General features: G+C 38.1%; 2 long non-coding RNA genes across 3 annotated transcripts in view; both read right to left on the bottom strand.

Annotated features, from left to right (window-relative positions):
- LOC107986620 (uncharacterized) overlaps positions 1-20,174 on the bottom strand; it is a 175,866-nt gene that overhangs the window by 145,001 nt on the left and 10,691 nt on the right. The window lies entirely within an intron of this gene.
- On the bottom strand, positions 10,803-13,685 carry LOC107986619 (uncharacterized). The gene is made up of 3 exons (XR_001744234.1): positions 13,647-13,685; positions 12,984-13,213; positions 10,803-11,322 (listed from the first exon to the last, which is right to left on the bottom strand). It is a non-coding gene; the product is annotated as an uncharacterized LOC107986619 (long non-coding RNA).

Below are 20,174 nucleotides of genomic sequence, written 5' to 3'. Positions count from 1 at the left end.
AGACAACTTAGAGAATGGGAGGAAACATTCACAAACGATACATCTGACAAGGGGTTAATATCCAAAATACGTAAAGAACATATACAACTCAATAGCAAAAAAACATATAACCCAATTTAAATATAAGCAATATACCTGAATAGAAATTTCTCAAAAGAGCACATATAAATGCCCAATAGGTATATGAAAAGGTGCTCAACACCACTAATCATCACAAAAATGCAAATCAAAACCACAATGAGATATCACCTCACACTTGTTAGGATGGCTATTATTTAAAAACACGAGATAGCAAGTGTTGGAAAAGATGTAGAATAATGTGAACCGTTGTACACTGTTAGTAGAAATATAAATTGGTACCATTTTCCATTATGGAAAACGGTAGGGAGGTTCCTTAAAAATTAAAAACAGAACTACCAAAAGGGTAAGTGAGAGCCCCTCAACAGTCCACATTTCTACTGTGGACTTCCACAATCCTAGCTATGAGAGAGCCCCTCAACCATCTTTGAGCCCTGAAATTAACATATGGAGCTGCCAGGATATTGTGTGATGGCACAGTTAGAGGGAGGGAGCCCATGCTAGGTCCCACACATTCCCTGAAACCTAAGCAGCTACAGCAAGAAGCCATTTTAGAGGCCTACCCATAACAGACTGCACACTGTCCTGGAGTCCAGCAGCACAAAGGCTGAGGAAAAAAAGAAGAACAACTAAGAACCCAAAAGCAAATGCAACAAAAGCAAAATAGATAAATGGGATGTAATTAAACTAAAAGGCTTCTGTGCAGCAGAAAAGATAATTAGCAGAGTAAACAGACAAACCATAGAGTGGGAGAAAATATTTGCAAACTATGCATCTGACAAAGAAATAATATCCAGAATCTACAAGGAACTCAACCAGATCAGCAAGAAAAAAAAAAACAATCCCATCAAAAAACTGGGCAAAGGACATGAATAGATAATCCACAAAAAAAGATATACAAACAACCTACAAACATATGAAAAAATGCTCACCGTCACTAATTATCAGAGAAATGCAAATTAAAATCACAATGAGATACCACCTTACTCTTGCAAGAATGGCCATAGTTAAAAATAAAAAAATAGTAGATGTTGGCATGGATATGTTGAAAAGGGAACACTTTTACACTACTAGTGGGAATGTAAACTAGTAAAACCACTATAGAAAACAGTACGGAGATTCCTTAAAGAATTAAAAGTAGAACTATCATCTGATCCAGCAATTCCACTACTGGGTATCTGCCCAAAGGAAAAGAAGTCATTATGTAAAAAAGACACATGCACATACATGTTTATAGGAGCACAATTCGTAATTGCAAATATATGGAACCAACCTAAATGCCCATCAACCGAGTGGATAAAGAAAATTCCATATACACCATGGAATACTACTCAGACATAAAATGGAAGAAAACAATGGCCTTTGCAGCAACTTGGATGGAGTTGGAGGCCATTATTCTAGGTGAAGTAACTCAGGAATGGAAAACCAAATATCATATATTAGTGGAGGCCGTGGTGAAGTTTTGCTGGGGACTGGAATGCCATGCAGGCCGGTCTTTTGGTCCCACTGGTGTCAATGGCAGGCTGAGCATCTCTGTCTTGGGGCCCTAGAGTGGTGTACACTGGTACTGGTATTAGCAGGTCCAGGCAGAAAATATCATAAATGGGAGCTAAACTATAAGGATGCAAAGGCATAAGAATGATATAATCGACTTTGGGGATTCAGGGGGAAGAACGGTGAGGGGGATAAGGGATAAAAGACTATATATTGGGTACAGTGTACATGGCTCAGGTGACAGATGCACCAAAATCTCAGAAATCATGACTAAAGAACTTATCCATGTAACCAAAAACCACCTGTTCCCCCAAAACTGTTGAATTAAAAAAAAACATACAAACAAGGCCAGCTTCACAGACATGCAACCTATGCACATGGCTTTGCGCTCAGAACTTAGTCTCTGCTGTTGCCATTTTGAAATTCTAAATAATTTTTGAACACGGAGACTTGTACTTTCATTTTGCACTGGGCCCTGCAAATTATATTGCTGATCCCACACATGTGTATGCATGCACACACGTGCACACACACACACACGCGTTTACAACTGTGAAATATTAAACCATATTCTTCAGCCTTATAATATTCCTAACATCCAACAATTCAGTGTTTCCAGGAATTAAAAGAAATCAAGGAGAAAAAAAAAGAGAAAAGCACAGACTGATGCCTCCAGGGTTCCATGAGCGACCATAGGCCACTGCAGCTGCGGCTAAGGCATGACTGAGGCAGGGTTACTAAAGCAGGGACTGAAGCATGAACACTACCAGAGCTGAGTCACAAGTGGTGTGTATGTTCCCCACCCATCAGCCTGCCCTCCCTAATAACAGGGCAGGATTGCAGCCACTGCCACCCTCGAGTTGAGCATTATTCAGATGGGCTGGGGATTACCCCACTTTTCCCTATTATGGCTGGCACCCACACACTTCATCGGAAGGCCTGAAGATAAGACCACCTGGCCTAGCTGTGCAAGTCCCCAACCCTCCACTGCCACCCCAAGCCAAAGCACACAGTTTGGATGCCAGGGATTTTCCCAACCTACTCCACCATTATTGGTACCTTAACACTCCCCCACAGGGCCCTGAAGTTAGGACTATCCACTGGGTCACCACATCCTCAGCTGGCACCTACTTGCATGTGCCACCTGCTGGCTTGGAGACTGAACCATCTAGCCCACTGTAGCCACTGCCTACACAAGCACACACAACTTTCAGGACACAGAGGGTCATCTTGCCCCTGCCAGTGCCCATGTCACACCAGCTGCCCAGGGACCTGAGAACCCACCCACCTGCCCAGCCCACTGCCGCCACTGCTGGCATCTGAGTATGCCACCTGAAGGCCCAAGAATTAGCCTGCCTGGACCTGCTAATACCAGTACCAGTGTACATCACCCTAGGGCCCCAAAACAGGCATGCTCATCCTGCCACTACCACCACTGGAACCAAAAGACTGGCCTACATGGCATTCCAGTCCCCAGCAAAACTTCAACACAGCCTCCACTAATAACTGCACCCTGAGACACTGAAAAAAATCAGATACCACTGGTGCTGTTTACAGCCAAAGAAATGATACAGAGATTACACTACTGCACACAGCAAGAATTACAGCCAAAGTGCCCTACCCCACCAGCACTATAGATTAATCATCTTCAGGAAAACATCTTCCCATATATAAACAAATTCACAAAGTAGAAAAGTAGAAGAAATGACTATTACACTAGATGCACAAATATCAATATAAGGACACAGGAAACATGAAAAAGCAAGGAAATATGATGCCTCCAAAGGAACACAATAATTCTCCAGCAACAGATCACAGTAAAAAAGAAAGTCATAAGATCCTGAAAAAAGAATTCAGATTATTGATTCAAAAGAAGCTCAGTGAGATACAGGAAAATTCTGAAAAAGAAATTTAAAAAAACAATTCAGAATATGAATGAGAAATTTACCAAAGAGACAGATATCATTAAAAAGACCCCAGAAATTCTGGAACTGAATAATTTATTGAATGAAATACAAGCTTCAACAATAGACTAAATCAAGAAGAAGAAAGAATCTGAGAACTTGAATCACATCATTTTAAATAACCCAGTAAGAAAAAAAGGAAAAAAAAATTAAAAGAATGAGTGAAGCCTTCCTGACATACAGAACACCATAAAGTGACCAAATATTCAAATTATCAGGGTACTAGAGGGTGAAGAGAGAATAAATGGTTTAGAAAACTTATTTGACAAAATAGTACATGAAAGCTTCCAAGTCCAGCAAGAGATTAGGACAGCCATATACAAGGAGCCTAGCAATCCCCAAATAGATACAATAAAAAAGCTCTTCTTCACAGCACATTTTAATCAAGATATCTAAAGTCAATGGCAAAGAAAGAATTCTAAAAACAGCAAGAGAAAAGTGTGTAGTCACCTATAAAGGAATCTTCATTAAATGAAAAATGGATTTCTCAGCAGAAACCTTACAGGCTAGGAGAGAATGGGATGATACATTTAAAGTGATGAAAGAAGAAAACTGCCAGTCAAAGATACTATATCTGGCATCATTATCCTTCATAAATGAAGGAGAAATAAAGTATTTCCCATACAAACAGAAGCTGAGAAAATTTATTACCACTGAACCAGCCCTACAAGAAATTCTCAAAGGAGTACTAAACCAGGAAGCAAAAGGATGATATTTACCATCATGAAAACACACAAAATTACAAAATACGCTAGTAAGGCAAGTACACAAATGAGGAAGAGAAAGGATTCAAATCATCACTACAGGAAACCACCAAACCATGATGACAAATGTAAGAGAAAAAGAAAGGATCAAAGAAGATAGGAAACAATCAGAAAATAGTTAACAATTTGACGACAGGAACAAAACCTCACATATCAATAATAACTTTGAATGTAAATGAATTAAATTCTTCACTCAAAATATACAGACTGGCCGAATAGAGTTTTTTTAAAAAATGGCTGGTTGCAGTGGCTCATGCCTGTAGTCTCAACGTTTTGCGAGGCCAAGGTGAGAGGATTTCTTGAGCCCAGGAGTTTAAGACCAACATGGGCAACACAGTGAGTCCCTATCTCTACAAAAAAATTGAATATTAAATATTAGCCAGGCATGGTGGCATGTGCCTGTAGTCCCAACTGCTTGGGAGGCTGAGGTGGGAGGATTGTTTGAGCATAGAAAGTCAAGGCTGCAGTGAGCCATAATTTTGCCACGGCACTCCAGCCTGAGTGACAAAGTGAGGCCCTGTCAAAAATAAAAAATAAGAAAGATCCAACTGTATGTGGCCTATAAGAAACACATTTTACCTATAGAAACACATATAGACTGAAACTGAAGAGATGGAAATAGATATTTCATGCAAATTAAAACCAAAAGCAAGCAGGAATAGCTATGCTGATATCATATAAAAGAGATTTTAAGTCAAAAACAGTTTTTAAAAAAGACAAAGAAGGTCATTACATAACAATAAAGGGATTGATCCAGGGAGAAGGATATACCAATTCTAAATATATATGCATCCAACATAGAGCAACCAGATTCATAAGGCAAATATTACTAGATATAAACAGAGAGATAGACTTTAATACAATAATAGCAGGGGATTTTTAACACCCACTGGACTTTAGACAAAATGGACCTAACACACATTTACAGAATATTTTATGCAACAACTGCAGAATACACATTCTTCTTATCAGCACATGAAACACTCTCCAGAAAAAAAACATATGTTAGACAACAAAAAAACTCAACAAATTTTTAAAAATCAAAATCATATCAAGTATCTTCTCAGACCACAATGGAATAAAACTTGAAATAAATATGAAAGGAACTTTGGAAAGCATACAAATACATAAAAATTAAATGACATGCTCCAGAACAACCATTAGGTCAATAAAGAAATCAAGATATAAACCAAACAATATCTTGAAACACATGAAAATGGATACACAACATACCAAAACCTGTGGGATACAGCAAAAGCAGTATTAAGAGGGAAGTTTATAGCAATAAACACCTAGATCAAAAAATAGGAAAGTCTCAAATAAGCAATCTAACAATGTGCCTCAAAGAACTAGAAAAGCAAGAATAAATCAAACTCAAAAGTAGCAGAAGAGAAATAATAAAGATTAAGGCAGAAGAAAATGAAATAGAGCTTAAAAATGAAAAGAATCAACAAAACAATAAGTTAGTTCTTCAAAAATATAAACAAAATCAATAAACCACCAGCTAGACTAACCATGAAAAGAAGGAAACCCAAATAAACAAAATCAGAAATGAAGAAGGAGACATTACAACTGATACCACAGAAATACAAAAGATTATCAGAGACTATTATGAACAACTATATGATAACAAACTGGAAAACCTAGAGGAAATGAATAAATTCCAGAAAACATAAAACCTACCAACACTGAATCAGGAAGAAATTAAAAACTTGAATAGACTAATAATGAGTAGCAATATTAAATCAATAATAAAAAGTCTCCCAAAAAGGAAAAGCCCAAGACTGAATAGATTCACTGCCAAATTTTACCAAACATAAAAAGAACTAATATCTATGCTCCTCTATCTATTCCAAACAATTGAAGGGAGAGAATTCTCCCTAACTCATTGTATGGCACCAGCATTAATCTGATACCAAAACCAGACAAGAACACACACACACACACACACACACACACACACACACACAAACTACAGGCCAATATCCCTGCTGAACATAAACACAAGAATCCTCAGCAAAATACTAGCAAACCGAGTTCAACGGCACATCAAAAAGATAATACACCATGATCAAGTGGAATTTATATCAGGGATGCAAGAATGTTTTAACATACAGAAATCAGTAAACATTATATATCCACATCAACAGGATGAAGGACAAAAACCATATAATCATCCCAATAGATACAGAAAAAATATTTGATATAATTGGACATCCTTTCATGAGAAAAACTCTCAACAAACTAGGTATAGAGGGATTACATCTCAAAATAATAAAGGACATATATGACAAATTCACAGCTAAGATTATACTGAGTGGGTTAAAATTGAGAGCCTTTCCTCTAAGAATTGAGACAAGACAAGGATACCCACTTTCACTACTCCTATTCAACATAGTACTGCATATTATTGCCAATGCAATCAAGCAAGAGAAAAAAATAAAAGGGATCCAAATTGGAAAAGAGGAATTCAAATTGTCCCTCTTTGTAGATGACATAATTTCTTTTTTCCAACTTTTATTTTAAGTTCTGGGGTACACATGCAGGATGTGCAAGTTTGTTACATAGGTAAATGTGTGCCATGGTGGTTTGGTCAACAGATCATCCCATCACCCAGGTATTAAACCCAGCATTTATTAGCTATGATGCTTTTTCTCCTCCCACCCCCAGCCCTCCCACAGGCCCTGGTGTGTGTTGTTTCCCATCGCCCATGTGTCCATGTGTTCTCATTATTCAGCTCCCACTTATGAGTGAGAACATGTGGTATTTGCTTTTCTGTTCCTGCGTTAGTTTACTAAGGATAATGGACTCCAGCTCAATCTATGTCCCTGCAAAGGACATGATCTTGTTCATTTAATGGCTGCATAGTATTCTGTGGTGTTTATGTAGCATGTTTTCTTTATCTAGTCTATCATTGATGTATTTGGAAAAACCAAAAGACTCCCTCCACCAAAAATCTCTTAGATCTGATAAGCAAATTCAGTAAAGTTGGAAGATGCAAAATCAATATACAAAAATCAGTAGTGTTTTGATATACCAATAATCAAATAGCCAGAAGAAATCAAGAAGGCAATCCATTTACAGCAGCTACAAAAAAAAATACCTAGGAGTAAATTTAAGGAGGTGAAATATCTCTACAAGGAAGACTACAAAACACTGATGAAAGAAGTTAAAGAGGACAAAAACAAACGGAAAGTCATCCCATACTCCTGGATCAAAAGAATTAATATCATTTAAATGGCCATATAACCCAAAGCAATATATAGGCTCAATGTACTCACTATCAAACACCACTGCCATTTTTCACAGAAATAGAAAAAAAAATCCTAAAATTCATATGGAAACAAACAAACAAAAAAAGCCAGAATAGCCAAAGTAATCCTGAGCAGAAAAAACAAAGCTGGAGGCTTCACACTTCCTAACTTCAAAATATATTATAAGAGTAAAGTAACCAAACCAGCATGCTATTGGTATAAAAGTAGACACATAGACCAATGGAACAGAATAGAGAATCCAGAAATGAATCTACATATTTACAGCCAACTAATTTTTGACAAGATGGCAAGAACATACACTGGGGAAAGGACACCATCTTCAATAAATGGTGCTGGGAAAACTGGGTATCCATAGGCAGAAGAATGAAACTGGACCTCTACCTCTCACTGTATACAAAAATCAACTCAAGATGGACTAAAGACTTACATGTAAGACCTGAAACTATAAAATTATTAGTAGAAAACATAGTGAAAACATTTCCAGACATTGGTTTAAACAAATATTTTATGGCTAAGACCTCAAAAGCACAGACAACTAAAACAAAAATAGATAAATTGAACTATATGCAACTAAGAGCCTTCTGAACATCAAACGAAACAGTTGACAGAGTGAAGAGACAACATGTTAAATGGGAGAAAATATCTGCAAACTATTCATCTGAGAAGGGACTAACATCTAGAATATACAATAATATACAAACAACTCAATAATAACAAGGCAAAACAAATATTTCATTAAAATGTGGAAAAATGACATGAATAGACAATTCTCAAAAGAAGACCTAAAAATGAACAGCAGATATATGAAAAAATGCTCACTATCACTAATCATCAGGGAAATGCAAATCAAAACCACGATAAGGTATCATTTTACCCCAATTAGAATGGCTATTATTAAAAAGACAAAAAATAAAACAGCTTTCTCTGCCATGCCTGCACCTCTCTCAACCATGCTGCTCCTCTTCCTCCTTCTCCATACTCAAGCCCCACTCATGGAAGTGCTCAAAAGTTATCTGGAGTTGCCTCAGGCACATCTCCCTGCAGATAACCTCATGCAGCCTTTTCTCTCCTCTTTGTCTGGCCAGGCTGGGCTACAAGTTGAGTGGAGGGTAATCCTACATGCACACAGCTGGGCCTGGCTGGGAGCTGAAAATGGTCACATAGCCATGGGAATGTCTTAACATATTCTTACAGGACAGGAAAGATGTTTCAAAAATATGTCATTGTGAGAAAGTTCTGAGGTTGATATGAGATAACCCAATATAAAGGATACTGAACAAAGTAAGGGATTAAGGTGAAACTTTGAAGAAGCTGAAGGAGATGGGCTCAGCCAAAGGATTTACACAGAAGAGCTAATGTTCTTGACTATGACATCTAATGAAAGATGCTGCCAGGAGGTCTTATTTAGAGTGGAGGAAACATGGTACATGCGACTATTTCCAGAAATGTTGAAACATAAGTAGACTTAAATGTTATCAGATCACCTACTGGTGTCAACAGCAGAAAGTGTCCTAGAATCCCAGATGTTTGGCTCATTTGCTATGCATAATATAGAATTCTCATCTGCTCCTTGGTTTAGAGGTGTGACACCATTTTACCTGCCCAGTTTTTAGGTCTGAGTTTAGATAAGTGTTTTAGAATAATAGAAGGCAAACACCATGTATTAGTCCATTCTCACACTACCATGAAGAAATACCCAAGACTGGGTAAGTTATAAAGAAATGAGATTTAATTGACTCACATTCCTGCAGGGATGAGGAGGCCTCAGGAATCTTACAACCATTGCAGAAAGAGAAGCAAACGTCCTTCTTCACATGGTGGCAGCAAAGAGAATGAGAACCAAGCAAAGGGGGAAGCCCCTTATAAAAACATCAAATCTTGTGAGAACTTACTATCATGAGAATAGCATGGGGGAACCACCCCCATGATTCAATTACTTCCCACTGGGTCTTTTCCATGACACATGGAGATTACGGGAACTACAATTCAAGATGAGATTTGGACGGGGACACAGCCAAACCATATCACACCACTTCTTAAGTGATATGTTTTTGCCCATTTTCTAAAATAATTTTTCTGGCTCTAAAAGTAAATACTTTCATTGTAGAATATTTGAAGAACATACAAAACTCATAAAGAATAAAATGAACTCACCAATAATTCCATCAATCAGAGATAAGCATAATTAACATTTTGATTCTGTAGTTGCAGTCCTTTTCTCTACACAAACATGTAAATTTCTTATTACAAAAGTGTGGTGATACCTCACATACTATTTTCTAACACAGTCTTCCACCTCAATTTATTGTGAACATTTTCCAAATTGTTAACAACTCCTCTAAAATAATCCTTAGTGGTTGCTTCAGATTCAATTATGTTTATACACCATAATCCATTAATCCAGTTCCCTATGGTCTAAGATTTAAGTTGTTTTCTATTTTTCGCTATTACCAAAAGCACAACTTTCTTTAAAAATAGTAAGGAATAAATTGCTATTGCCATTACCACTGAATTTTTTTTAGAACACTACACAAATACATTTAAGGGAGCGAAAAAGCCAGAAAGAAAAGATGACTTTGGTAGCAGTGTTGAGAATTTTTAGAGGCTGGTTTAAATAAAGGTTAAGATGACTTCAAGAAATAAGTTCTAATCACGAATGGGAGAGATAACTAGCATTTGAGCAAAGAGTATAAGAGAAAGCAGAACTACATACAGAAATGTTGAAAAGGAATGTGAGGAAAATTAAAAGAACAAGGCAATGTAGAGTGCAAAGCTGAGATCTTAAAATTATTGTTTAAGAAGCAATTTTGTTGACTTTAATGGCAAACCAGTCAGGTGCTAAAAGTGTCGAAGGTTCATAAAACAGTCTGATGCAGCAAGCTTGTAGACAAGGACTGTGTGGCCTCCTTGCTCACAGCTGTGTGCTGGGTTTTAGCATCGAGCCAGTCCAGTTAACATACTGACTGGTGGTAGTTACAGACATGAAATTGTACCTGCATATAATCTAAGTAAGATAAAAACAGTGCAAGTCTGCAAAATTCTATCCACATCCAAAGTGTCTCTGAGAAGTCGAGGCCCTGGTGATTTATTTGTCCTACACCACAAGTAACATCATTTTGAAATGATTTTTAAACCAAATTATTTTCTTCAACTTGAAATAGAAACATGTGAGGACATAAAGTAGAAAAAAAATTGAGTCAGAAAGTGTTTTTCTCCATATTCCCCAACATTCAGAATTACTTAGAGAGACCATGGATACTTTCAAAGAAAAAGTATGGTTATGATTCCCCAAGACTCTTCCCTTGTTCTAAGCACAACCCAAGCAATAGCCCATTAGGGAAAGCTCTGACTCTAACCTTCAATTTGTGTCATGAAAGATGGTGCCAAAATTTTTTCACCCTTTAGATCTTCTCAGAGAGGTATTCACAGTTGGGCAAATGAAAGGGTTTGTGACATTAAAAGGCAGCAGTGTGTCCTGGCCTACAGTTTGTATCACAAGTGACAGGTCTGAATTGCCTTCTACTCAGGCAAGCAAAAGAGAAAGTTAAAAAAGAAGTTCAAGGAGTAAGTTTCCATGTGTGTCTCCATTCCCAACAGATGGCCTCCACACGGACAAGCTTTACGCATTTGGTGATCTCCAGATGGGCAAATAAAATGCCATTTTGATCTTATTGTAAATATGGGAGGGAGGTTGTTACCATCTTTCAATCAAACAGAAAGGAAAATGAATTTTCTCCAGGCAGGGACCTTAAGATAAAAGAATAAACATTAAGGCAGTATAAGGATTCTACATGTAAATATATTAGTCTTTGCTGAAGCTTAAAGTTTAGTTTGTTGCAAGTTCAATTTGTTGTTTAATTTGTTGCAAGACTTAGAGAAATTGTTGAACCATTTTGATAGGTTATACATATGATAAATCAAGAAAAAACTTGTATTCAATTTTTGGTAAGTCCTATGAAATTCAACAGGCATTGGGAAAAAAACCCTATTGTAATAGTTTCATTGAATACTTAATTTTATAATTATCTTCCTATTTAAAGCACACATCCTTAAACTTACGTTTTTTTAAATCTCTACTAAGCAGTCAATTTTCTTCTAAATATATCCTTTCTTTTTCATTTTCACAACTGAAACCACATCCATATCATCTGGCGCCCCTTTGATTTATGCAACACTGCACACAGTTGATGTCTTGCCTTTGATTTGGTGTTTCATTCTACTTCCCCATCTGAGCCAGTCTATTCAATATTCTCAATTATGTGACACCCCCTCCATCATATGCGCGTGCACACACACACACACATGCCCACACACACACAAACACACATCCAAAAATATATAATTTCAGTAGCTACCCCATGACTGAAGTTAGGACCCTGACTACAGCAAGGACATTTAATTATCAATTTGGAAAAATCCTTGTCTGTGTAAACTTAATTCTGAAAAGCAATTGCTCTGCTTTGAAAATAGGACAATGATAATACACACATGGGTACAATGTAGTTACTCTAGTGATGGATACACTAAAAGCCCTGACTTCACCACTATAGACATCAATGTAACAAAATTACACTTGTATCCAATGTATTAATACCAATGGAAAAATTTCATCTGAATACACACAATTTTGATTCTGTAATTATGTTTAAATATCACAGACTTTGCATTTCACACTAGAATACCAAACTTAGCCAACACACTCATATGGAAATGTTTGATTAATGCCTGCATCTTTAATTAAAGCAAACAACCTACCCCAGTACTAAGCATATGGTCAACTCTTAGTTAATAATGATGGAAAGATTTTTTTAAATCTATGAATGTCTGAATTTTTAAAAAATCCAATAGCCTTTGATAGCTACAGTTTAGCGTATAGAAGTGAGGCACAGATACAATACTCACAGAATAGTGTAGTGAGGAGCAGCACCGCCTATTGGTCATCACCATAGGCCCTGAAGTTCAAAAGACCTGGGCCCTAATTCTGGGTTAGCTTTTACCCTGGGAAGTTACCTGCCCTTTCCAAGCTTTAGTTTCCACATAAATCAAGTAGGGAAAATAATAGTAGATACAACACAACAGGTTGTATGGAGATTAAATCTGATGGTACATGTAAAGCTCTCTGTGCATTTTAGCTATGTCTCCTCCACACAGCTATGACTATGTTCTGTATCAGTACACATTTTCTTGATAGACTCCTAGAAGAGAGAGCTCTGGCTGTGCCATTTTGGACAATTTTGAGCAAAACATCTCTTAGGTACTTTATTATGCCTTTGGTTTATTGTGATGACAAAAATTCTGTTGCCACATTCCCCCCCACCTTAATCCTCTATTTCAACTGCATTGAAAATCTTATCCTTCCAATAAATCCTGTTATTTTACACCTCCCTGATTTCACCCCATTCTCTCACCTATAACACCATTCTCTTTCCCAGAAGTTCGAGGAACTAGCAAGTCACCAAATGGTTTTCTAGTTAGCCGTGATGTATGTAAAGGTCAGCTGGCTTTGACACGTGTTCCCTTGCCCATCACCAGACTGATGTGGCTGCTTTTGATTGTCTGCATCTTTGTCTTCTTACTTTATCACCTGGCAGTACTCCTTTCCAGTAATCACACCTTCATCCAAAAAGGCCAACTGTTCCTGGAAGACAAGAATGACCCTTCACTCAAGAGTGTAGAAGAGACTATGGCCATAAGACCCTTGAATACAACTAAGAAAATAGCCTGGGATTTCACCCAGATGGGTGCCTACCACCTCAGCCATATTGTGATCCATGTCCTTGACACATGATTGGATCTGTAAACCCGGAAAAACTTCTAATGATTGGAATTTCTGCTCCAACCCACTGAGAATCCACTGTTCTAACTGCACGTGAGATTTATATTACTCCCTGCCTTACTTCCCCCACAGGCCTTTGCTTATCTGAATCTTTTCATTTGATCCTGCTTTAAAATACACTGGCAGCTCCTTGTGTAGTATTTCAATAGAAGAGGTGTCTGCCTGATCACCTGCTAGAAAAGGAGCTTTTTTTTTTTACTTTTAAAATACCTAGGCCAGTCATGGTGGCTCATACCTGTAATCCCAGCATTTTGGGAGGCCAAGGCAGGAAGATCACTTGAGCCTGGAAGTTGAAGACCAGCCTGGGCAAAATAGTGAGAACTTGTCTCTACAAAAAGGAAACAAAAATTAGCCAGGCATGGTGGTGCATGCCTGTAGTCCCAGCTATTTGGGAGGTTAAGGTGGGAGGATCGCTTCAGCCTGGGAGGTTGAGGCTGCAGCAAGCTGAGATTGAGTCTTTGCACTCCAGCCTGGGTGACAGAACAAGACCTTGTCTCAAATAAAATAAAATAAAATAAAATAAAATAAAATAAAATAAAATAAAATAAAATAAAATAAGGGGGAGGAGCCAAGATGGCCGAATAGGAACAGCTCCGGTCTACAGCTCCCAGCGTGAGCGACGCAGAAGACGGGTGATTTCTGCATTTCCATCTGAGGATCGCAGTTCCTCACCAGCAATGGAACAAACCTGGATGGATAATGACTTTGACGAGTTGAGAGAAGAAGGCTTCAGAAGATCAAACTATGAGCTACAGGAAGAAATTCAAACCAAAGGCAAAGAAGTTAAAAACTTTGAAAAAAATTTAGACGAATGTATAACTAGAATAACCAATAGAGAGAAGCGCTTAAAGGAGCTGATGGAGCTGAAAGCCAAAGCTCGAGAACTACGTGAAGAATGCAGAAGCCTCAGGAGCCGATGCAATCAACTGGAAGAAAGGGTATCAGCGATGGAAGACGAAATGAATGAAATAAAGTGAGAAGGGAAGTTTAGAGAAAAAAGAATAAAAAGAAACGAACAAAGCCTCCAAGAAATATGGGACTATGTGAAAAGTCCAAATTTATGTCTGACTGGGGTACCTGAAAGTGACGGGGAGAATGGAACCAAGTTGGAAAACACTCTGCAGGATATTATCCAGGAGAACTTCCCCAATCTAGCAAGGCAGGCCAACATTCAGATTCAGGAAACACAGAGAATGCCACAAAGATACTTCTCGAGAAGAGCAACTCCAAGACACATAATTGTCAGATTCACCAAAGTTGAAATGAAGGAAAAAATGTTAAGGGCAGCCAGAGAGAAAGGTCGGGTTACCCTCAAAGAGAAGCCCATCAGACTAACAGCGGATCTCTCGGCAGAAACTCTACAAGCCAGAAGAGAGTGGGGGCCAATATTCAACATTCTTAAAGAAAAGAATTTTCAACCCACAATTTCATATCCAGCCAAACTAAGCTTCATAAGTGAAGAAGAAATAAAATACTTTACAGACAAGCAAATGCTGAGAGATTTTGTCACCACCAGGCCTGCCCTAAAAGAGCTCCTGAAGGAAAGCACTAAACATGGAAAGGAACAACTGGTACCAGCCGCAGCAAAATCATGCCAAAATGTAAAGACCATCGAGACTAGGAAGAAACTGCATCAACTAACGAGCAAAATAACCGGCTAACATGATAATGACAGGTTCAAATTCACACATTACAATATTAACTTTAAATGTATACGGACTAAATGCTCCAATTAAAAGACACCGACTGGCAAATTGGATAAAGAGTCAAGACCCATCAGTGTGTCGTATTCAGGAAACCCATCTCACATGCAGAGACACACATAGACTCAAAATAAAAGGATGGAGGAAGATCTACCAAGCAAATGGAAACAAAAAAAGGCAGGGGTTGCAATCCTAGTCTCTGATAAAACAGACTTTAAACCAACAAAGATCAAAAGAGACAAAGAAGGCCATTACATAATGGTAAAGGGATCAATTCAACAAGAAGAGCTAACTATCCTAAATATATATGCACCCAATACAGGAGCACCCAGATTCATAAAACAAGTCCTGAGTGACCTATAAAGAGACTTAGACTCCCACACATTAATAATGGGAGACTTTAACACCCCACTGTCAACATTAGACAGATCAACAAGACAGAAAGTCAACAAGGATACCCAGGAATTGAACTCAGCTCTGCACCAAGTGGACCTAATAGACATCTACAGAACTCTCCACCCCAAATCAACAGAATATACATTTTTTTCAGCACCACACCACACCTATTCCAAAATTGACCACACACTTGGAAGTAAAGCACTCCTCAGCAAATGTACAAGAACAGAAATTATAACAAACTATCTCTCAGACCACAGTGCAATCAAACTAGAACTCAGGATTAAGAAACTCACTCAAAACCACTCAACTACGTGGAAACTGAACAACCTGCTCTTGAATGACTACTGGGTACATAACGAAATGAAGGCAGAAATAAAGATGTTCTTTGAAATCAATGAGAACAAAGACACAACATACCAGAATCTCTGGGACACATTCAAAGCAGTGTGTAGAGGGAAATTTATAGCACTAAATGCCCACAAGAGAAAGCAGGAAAGATCCAAAATTGACACCCTAACATCACAATTAAAAGAACTAGAAAAGCAAGAGCAAACACATTCAAAAGCTAGCAGAAGGCAAGAAATAACTAAAATCAGAGCAGAACTGAAGGAAATAGAGACACAAAAAACCCTTCAAAAAATTAATGAATCCAGGAGCTGGTTTTTTGAAAGGATCAACAAAATTGATAGACCGCTAGCAAGACTAATAAAGAAAAAAAGAGAGAAGAATCAAATAGACACTATAAAAAATGATAAAGGAGATATCACCACCGATCCCACAGAAATACAAACTACCATCAGAGAATACTACAAACACCTCTACGCAAATAAACTAGAAAATCTAGAAGAAATGGATAAATTCCTCGACACATACACCCTCCCAAGACTAAACCAGGAAGAAGTTGAATCTCTGAATAGACCAATAACGGGAGCTGAAATTGTGGCAATAATCAATAGCTTACCAACCAAAAAGAGTCCAGGACCAGATGGATTCACAGCCGAATTCCACCAGAGGTACAAGGAGGAACTGGTACCATTCCTTCTGAAACTATTCCAATCAGTAGAACAAGAGGGAATCCTCCCTAACTCATTTTATGAGGCCAGCATCATCCTGACACCAAAGCCGGGCAGAGACACAATCAAAAAAGAGAACTTTAGACCAATATCCTTGATGGGCATTGATGCAAAAATCCTCAATAAAATACTGGCAAATCGAATCCAGCAGCACATCAAAAAGCTTATCCACCATGATCAAGTGGGCTTCATCCCTGGGATGCAAGGCTGGTTCAATATTCGCAAATCAATAAATGTAATCCAGCATATAAACAGAACCAAAGACAAAAACCACATGATTATCTTAATAGATGCAGAAAAGGCCTTTGACAAAATTCAACAACCCTTCATGCTAAAAACTCTCAATAAATTAGGTATTGATGGGACATATCTCAAAATAATAAGAGCTATCTATGACAAACCTACAGCCAATATCATACTGAATGGGCAAAAACTGGAAGCATTCCCTTTGAAAACTGGCACAAGACAGGGATGCCCTCTCTCACCACTCCTATTCAACATAGTGTTGGAAGTTCTGGCCAGGGCAATTAGGCAGGAGAAGGAAATAAAGGGTATTCAATTAGGAAAAGAGGAAGTCAAATTGTCCCTGTTTGCAGACGACATGATTGTATATCTAGAAAACCCCATTGTCTCAGCCCAAAATCTCCTTAAGCTGATAAGCAACTTCAGCAAAGTCTCAGGATACAAAATCAATGTGCAAAAGTCACAAGCATTCTTATACACCAATAACAGACAAACAGAGAGCCAAATCATGAGTGAACTCATTCACAATTGCTGCAAAGAGAATAAAATACCTAGGAATCCACCTTACAAGGGATGTGAAGGACCTCTTCAAGGAGAACTACAAACCACTGCTCAACGAAATAAAAGAGGATACAAACAAATGGAAGAACATTTCATGCTCGTGGGTAGGAAAAATCAATATCGTGAAAATGGCCATACTGCCCAAGGTAATTTATAGATTCAATGCCATCCCCATCAAGCTACCAATGACTTTCTTCACAGAATTGGAAAGAACTACTTTAAAGTTCATATGGAACCAAAAAAGAGCCCACATCACCAAGTCAATCCTAAGCCAAAAGAACAAAGCTGGAGGCATCATGCTACCTGACTTCAAACTATACTACAGGGCTACAGTAACCAAAACAGAGATATAGATCAATGGAACAGAACAGAGCCCTCAGAAATAACGCTGCATATCTACAACTATCTGATATTTGACAAACCTGAGAAAAACAAGCAATGGGGAAAGGATTCCCTATTTAATCAATGGTGCTGGGAAAACTGGCTAGCCATATGTAGAAAGCTGAAACTGGATCCCTTCCTTACACCTTATACAAAAATCAATTCAAGATGGATTAAAGACTTAAACGTTAGACCTAAAGCCATAAAAACCCTAGAAGAAAAGCTAGGCAGTACCATTCAGGACATAGGCACGGGGAAGGACTTCATGTCTAAAACACCAAAAGCAATGGCAACAAAAGCCAAAATTGACAAATGGGATCTAATTAAACTAAAGAGCTTCTGCACAGCAAAAGAAACTACCATCAGAGTGAACAGGCAACCCACAAAATGGGAGAAAATTTTCGCAACCTACTCATCTGACAAAGGGCTAATATCCAGAATCTACAATGAACTCAAACAAATTTACAAGAAAAAAACAACCCCATCAAAGTGGATGAAGGACATGAACAGACACTTCTCAGAAGAAGACATTTATGCAGCCAAAAAACACATGAAAAAATGCTCACCATCACTGGCCATCAGAGAAATGCAAATCAAAACCACAATGAGATACCATCTCACACCAGTTAGAATGGCAATCATTAAAAAGTCAGGAAACAACAGGTGCTGGAGAGGATGTGGAGAAATAGGAACACTTTTACACTGTTGGTGGGACTGTAAACTAGTTCAACCATTGTGGAAGTCAGTGTGGTGATTCCTCAGGGATCTAGAACTAGAAATACCATTTGACCCAGCCATCCCATTACTGGGTATATACCCAAAGGACTATAAATCATGCTGCTATAAAGACACATGCACACGTATGTTTATTGCGGCATTATTCACAATAGCAAAGACTTGGAACCAACCCAAATGTCCAACAATGATAGACTGGATAAAGAAAATGTGGCCCATATACACCATGGAATACCATGCAGCCATAAAAAATGATGAGTTCATGTCCTTTGTAGGGACATGGATGAAATTGGAAATCATCATTCTCAGTAAACTATCACAAGAACAAAAAACCAAACACCGCATATTCTCACTCATAGGTGGGACTTGAACAATGAGAACACATGGACACAGGAAGGGGAACATCACACTCTGGGGACTGTTGTGGGGTGGGGGGAGGGGGGAGGGATAGCATTAGGAGATATACGTAATGCTAGATGACGAGTTAGTGGGTGCAGCGCACCAGCATGTCACATGTATACATATGTAACTAACCTGCACATTGTGCACATGTACCCTAAAACTTAAAGTATAATTAAAAAAAAAAAGATAAAATAAAATAAGTCTACTTGGGCATAAAAAATTAAAATTCACAAAACACTTAAAAACATACCTTCATTCATTGTCCATTCAGCATTTCAAAGACAATGTCTTTAAAATATTTGAAAAGAAATATAGTAAAGGAGTTTATGGCAGAAAGTAGTGAAAGAAGCACAAACTTGGAGTCAAACTGAGCTCTTATAAGCTATGTGAGCTCTTCAATCTGTTTCTTTGTCTGTTAAAAAAAGGTAAGCATATCTGCCTACCTACAGTGTAGAATTGTGATGTGGATGGAGTGAGATAATTCAAGAATGTAATACCTGTTGCAATATGTGAGTCATTAGTAAGGACCCAATTCTTTATCCATACCCTCCTTTCTGCCTGCTCTACCTCTCTTCTCTGAGGTAGAGGATAGCAGGTGAGAAGGCAGTTATGTATGCCTAGCATCTCCCTGGAATAGGCATTCTTGACTCACAGTTCAAATTTACTTGCAGAATGCAGAGATGATGACATTGTCAGCACTCAGAGGAAGCGTAATAATGGGTTCATTCTAGCAAATTCTAGCTAAGCCAAAACAATATGCCATGACTGTCTGATAGAGAAAGTTGCGTTTTTCTCCTTTGAGGGTCCGACCAATGAAAAAAAATTGAGAATTTTTTAAAGGTGAATTCAAAAAGACCTGTGAGGAATTGCAAGGAATTTCAAGCAGAGCATTGCAGTGTCAGAAGACAGAATAACTAAAGAACACTGCATGCCAAGAATGGTAGATGCAGCTGCTTCCAGAAGGGTCTAGGCTTCTTTCTTCTTTTCTCTTTGTGTTTTATTCTTCTCCCTCCAAGTTGCCTCCACATGGCCCTCACTTACTGAAAGCATATGACAGGTTTGAGTTCTAATTTTATGCATAGAGCCTGCCCCACACCTTGCTGGGTTTTTTTTTCCTCCAGTCATCACCTAAAATGGTTTCTTATTATTATTATTATTATTATTACTGTTCTTATGCCTCTCAAATCAGTTGATTATCTTACAATGAGCACTTTTTCCACAAAAGCTGAAGTCTCTAAATGCTGGATCTTAACAGTGTCAAAGCAT

This window comes from Homo sapiens, chromosome 6, assembly GCF_000001405.40.
Source record: "Homo sapiens chromosome 6, GRCh38.p14 Primary Assembly".
Lineage (NCBI taxonomy): Eukaryota > Metazoa > Chordata > Mammalia > Primates > Hominidae > Homo > Homo sapiens.
The sequence above is the reverse complement of the archived record's forward strand: the minus strand, read 5'-3'. Positions and strand labels throughout refer to the sequence as shown.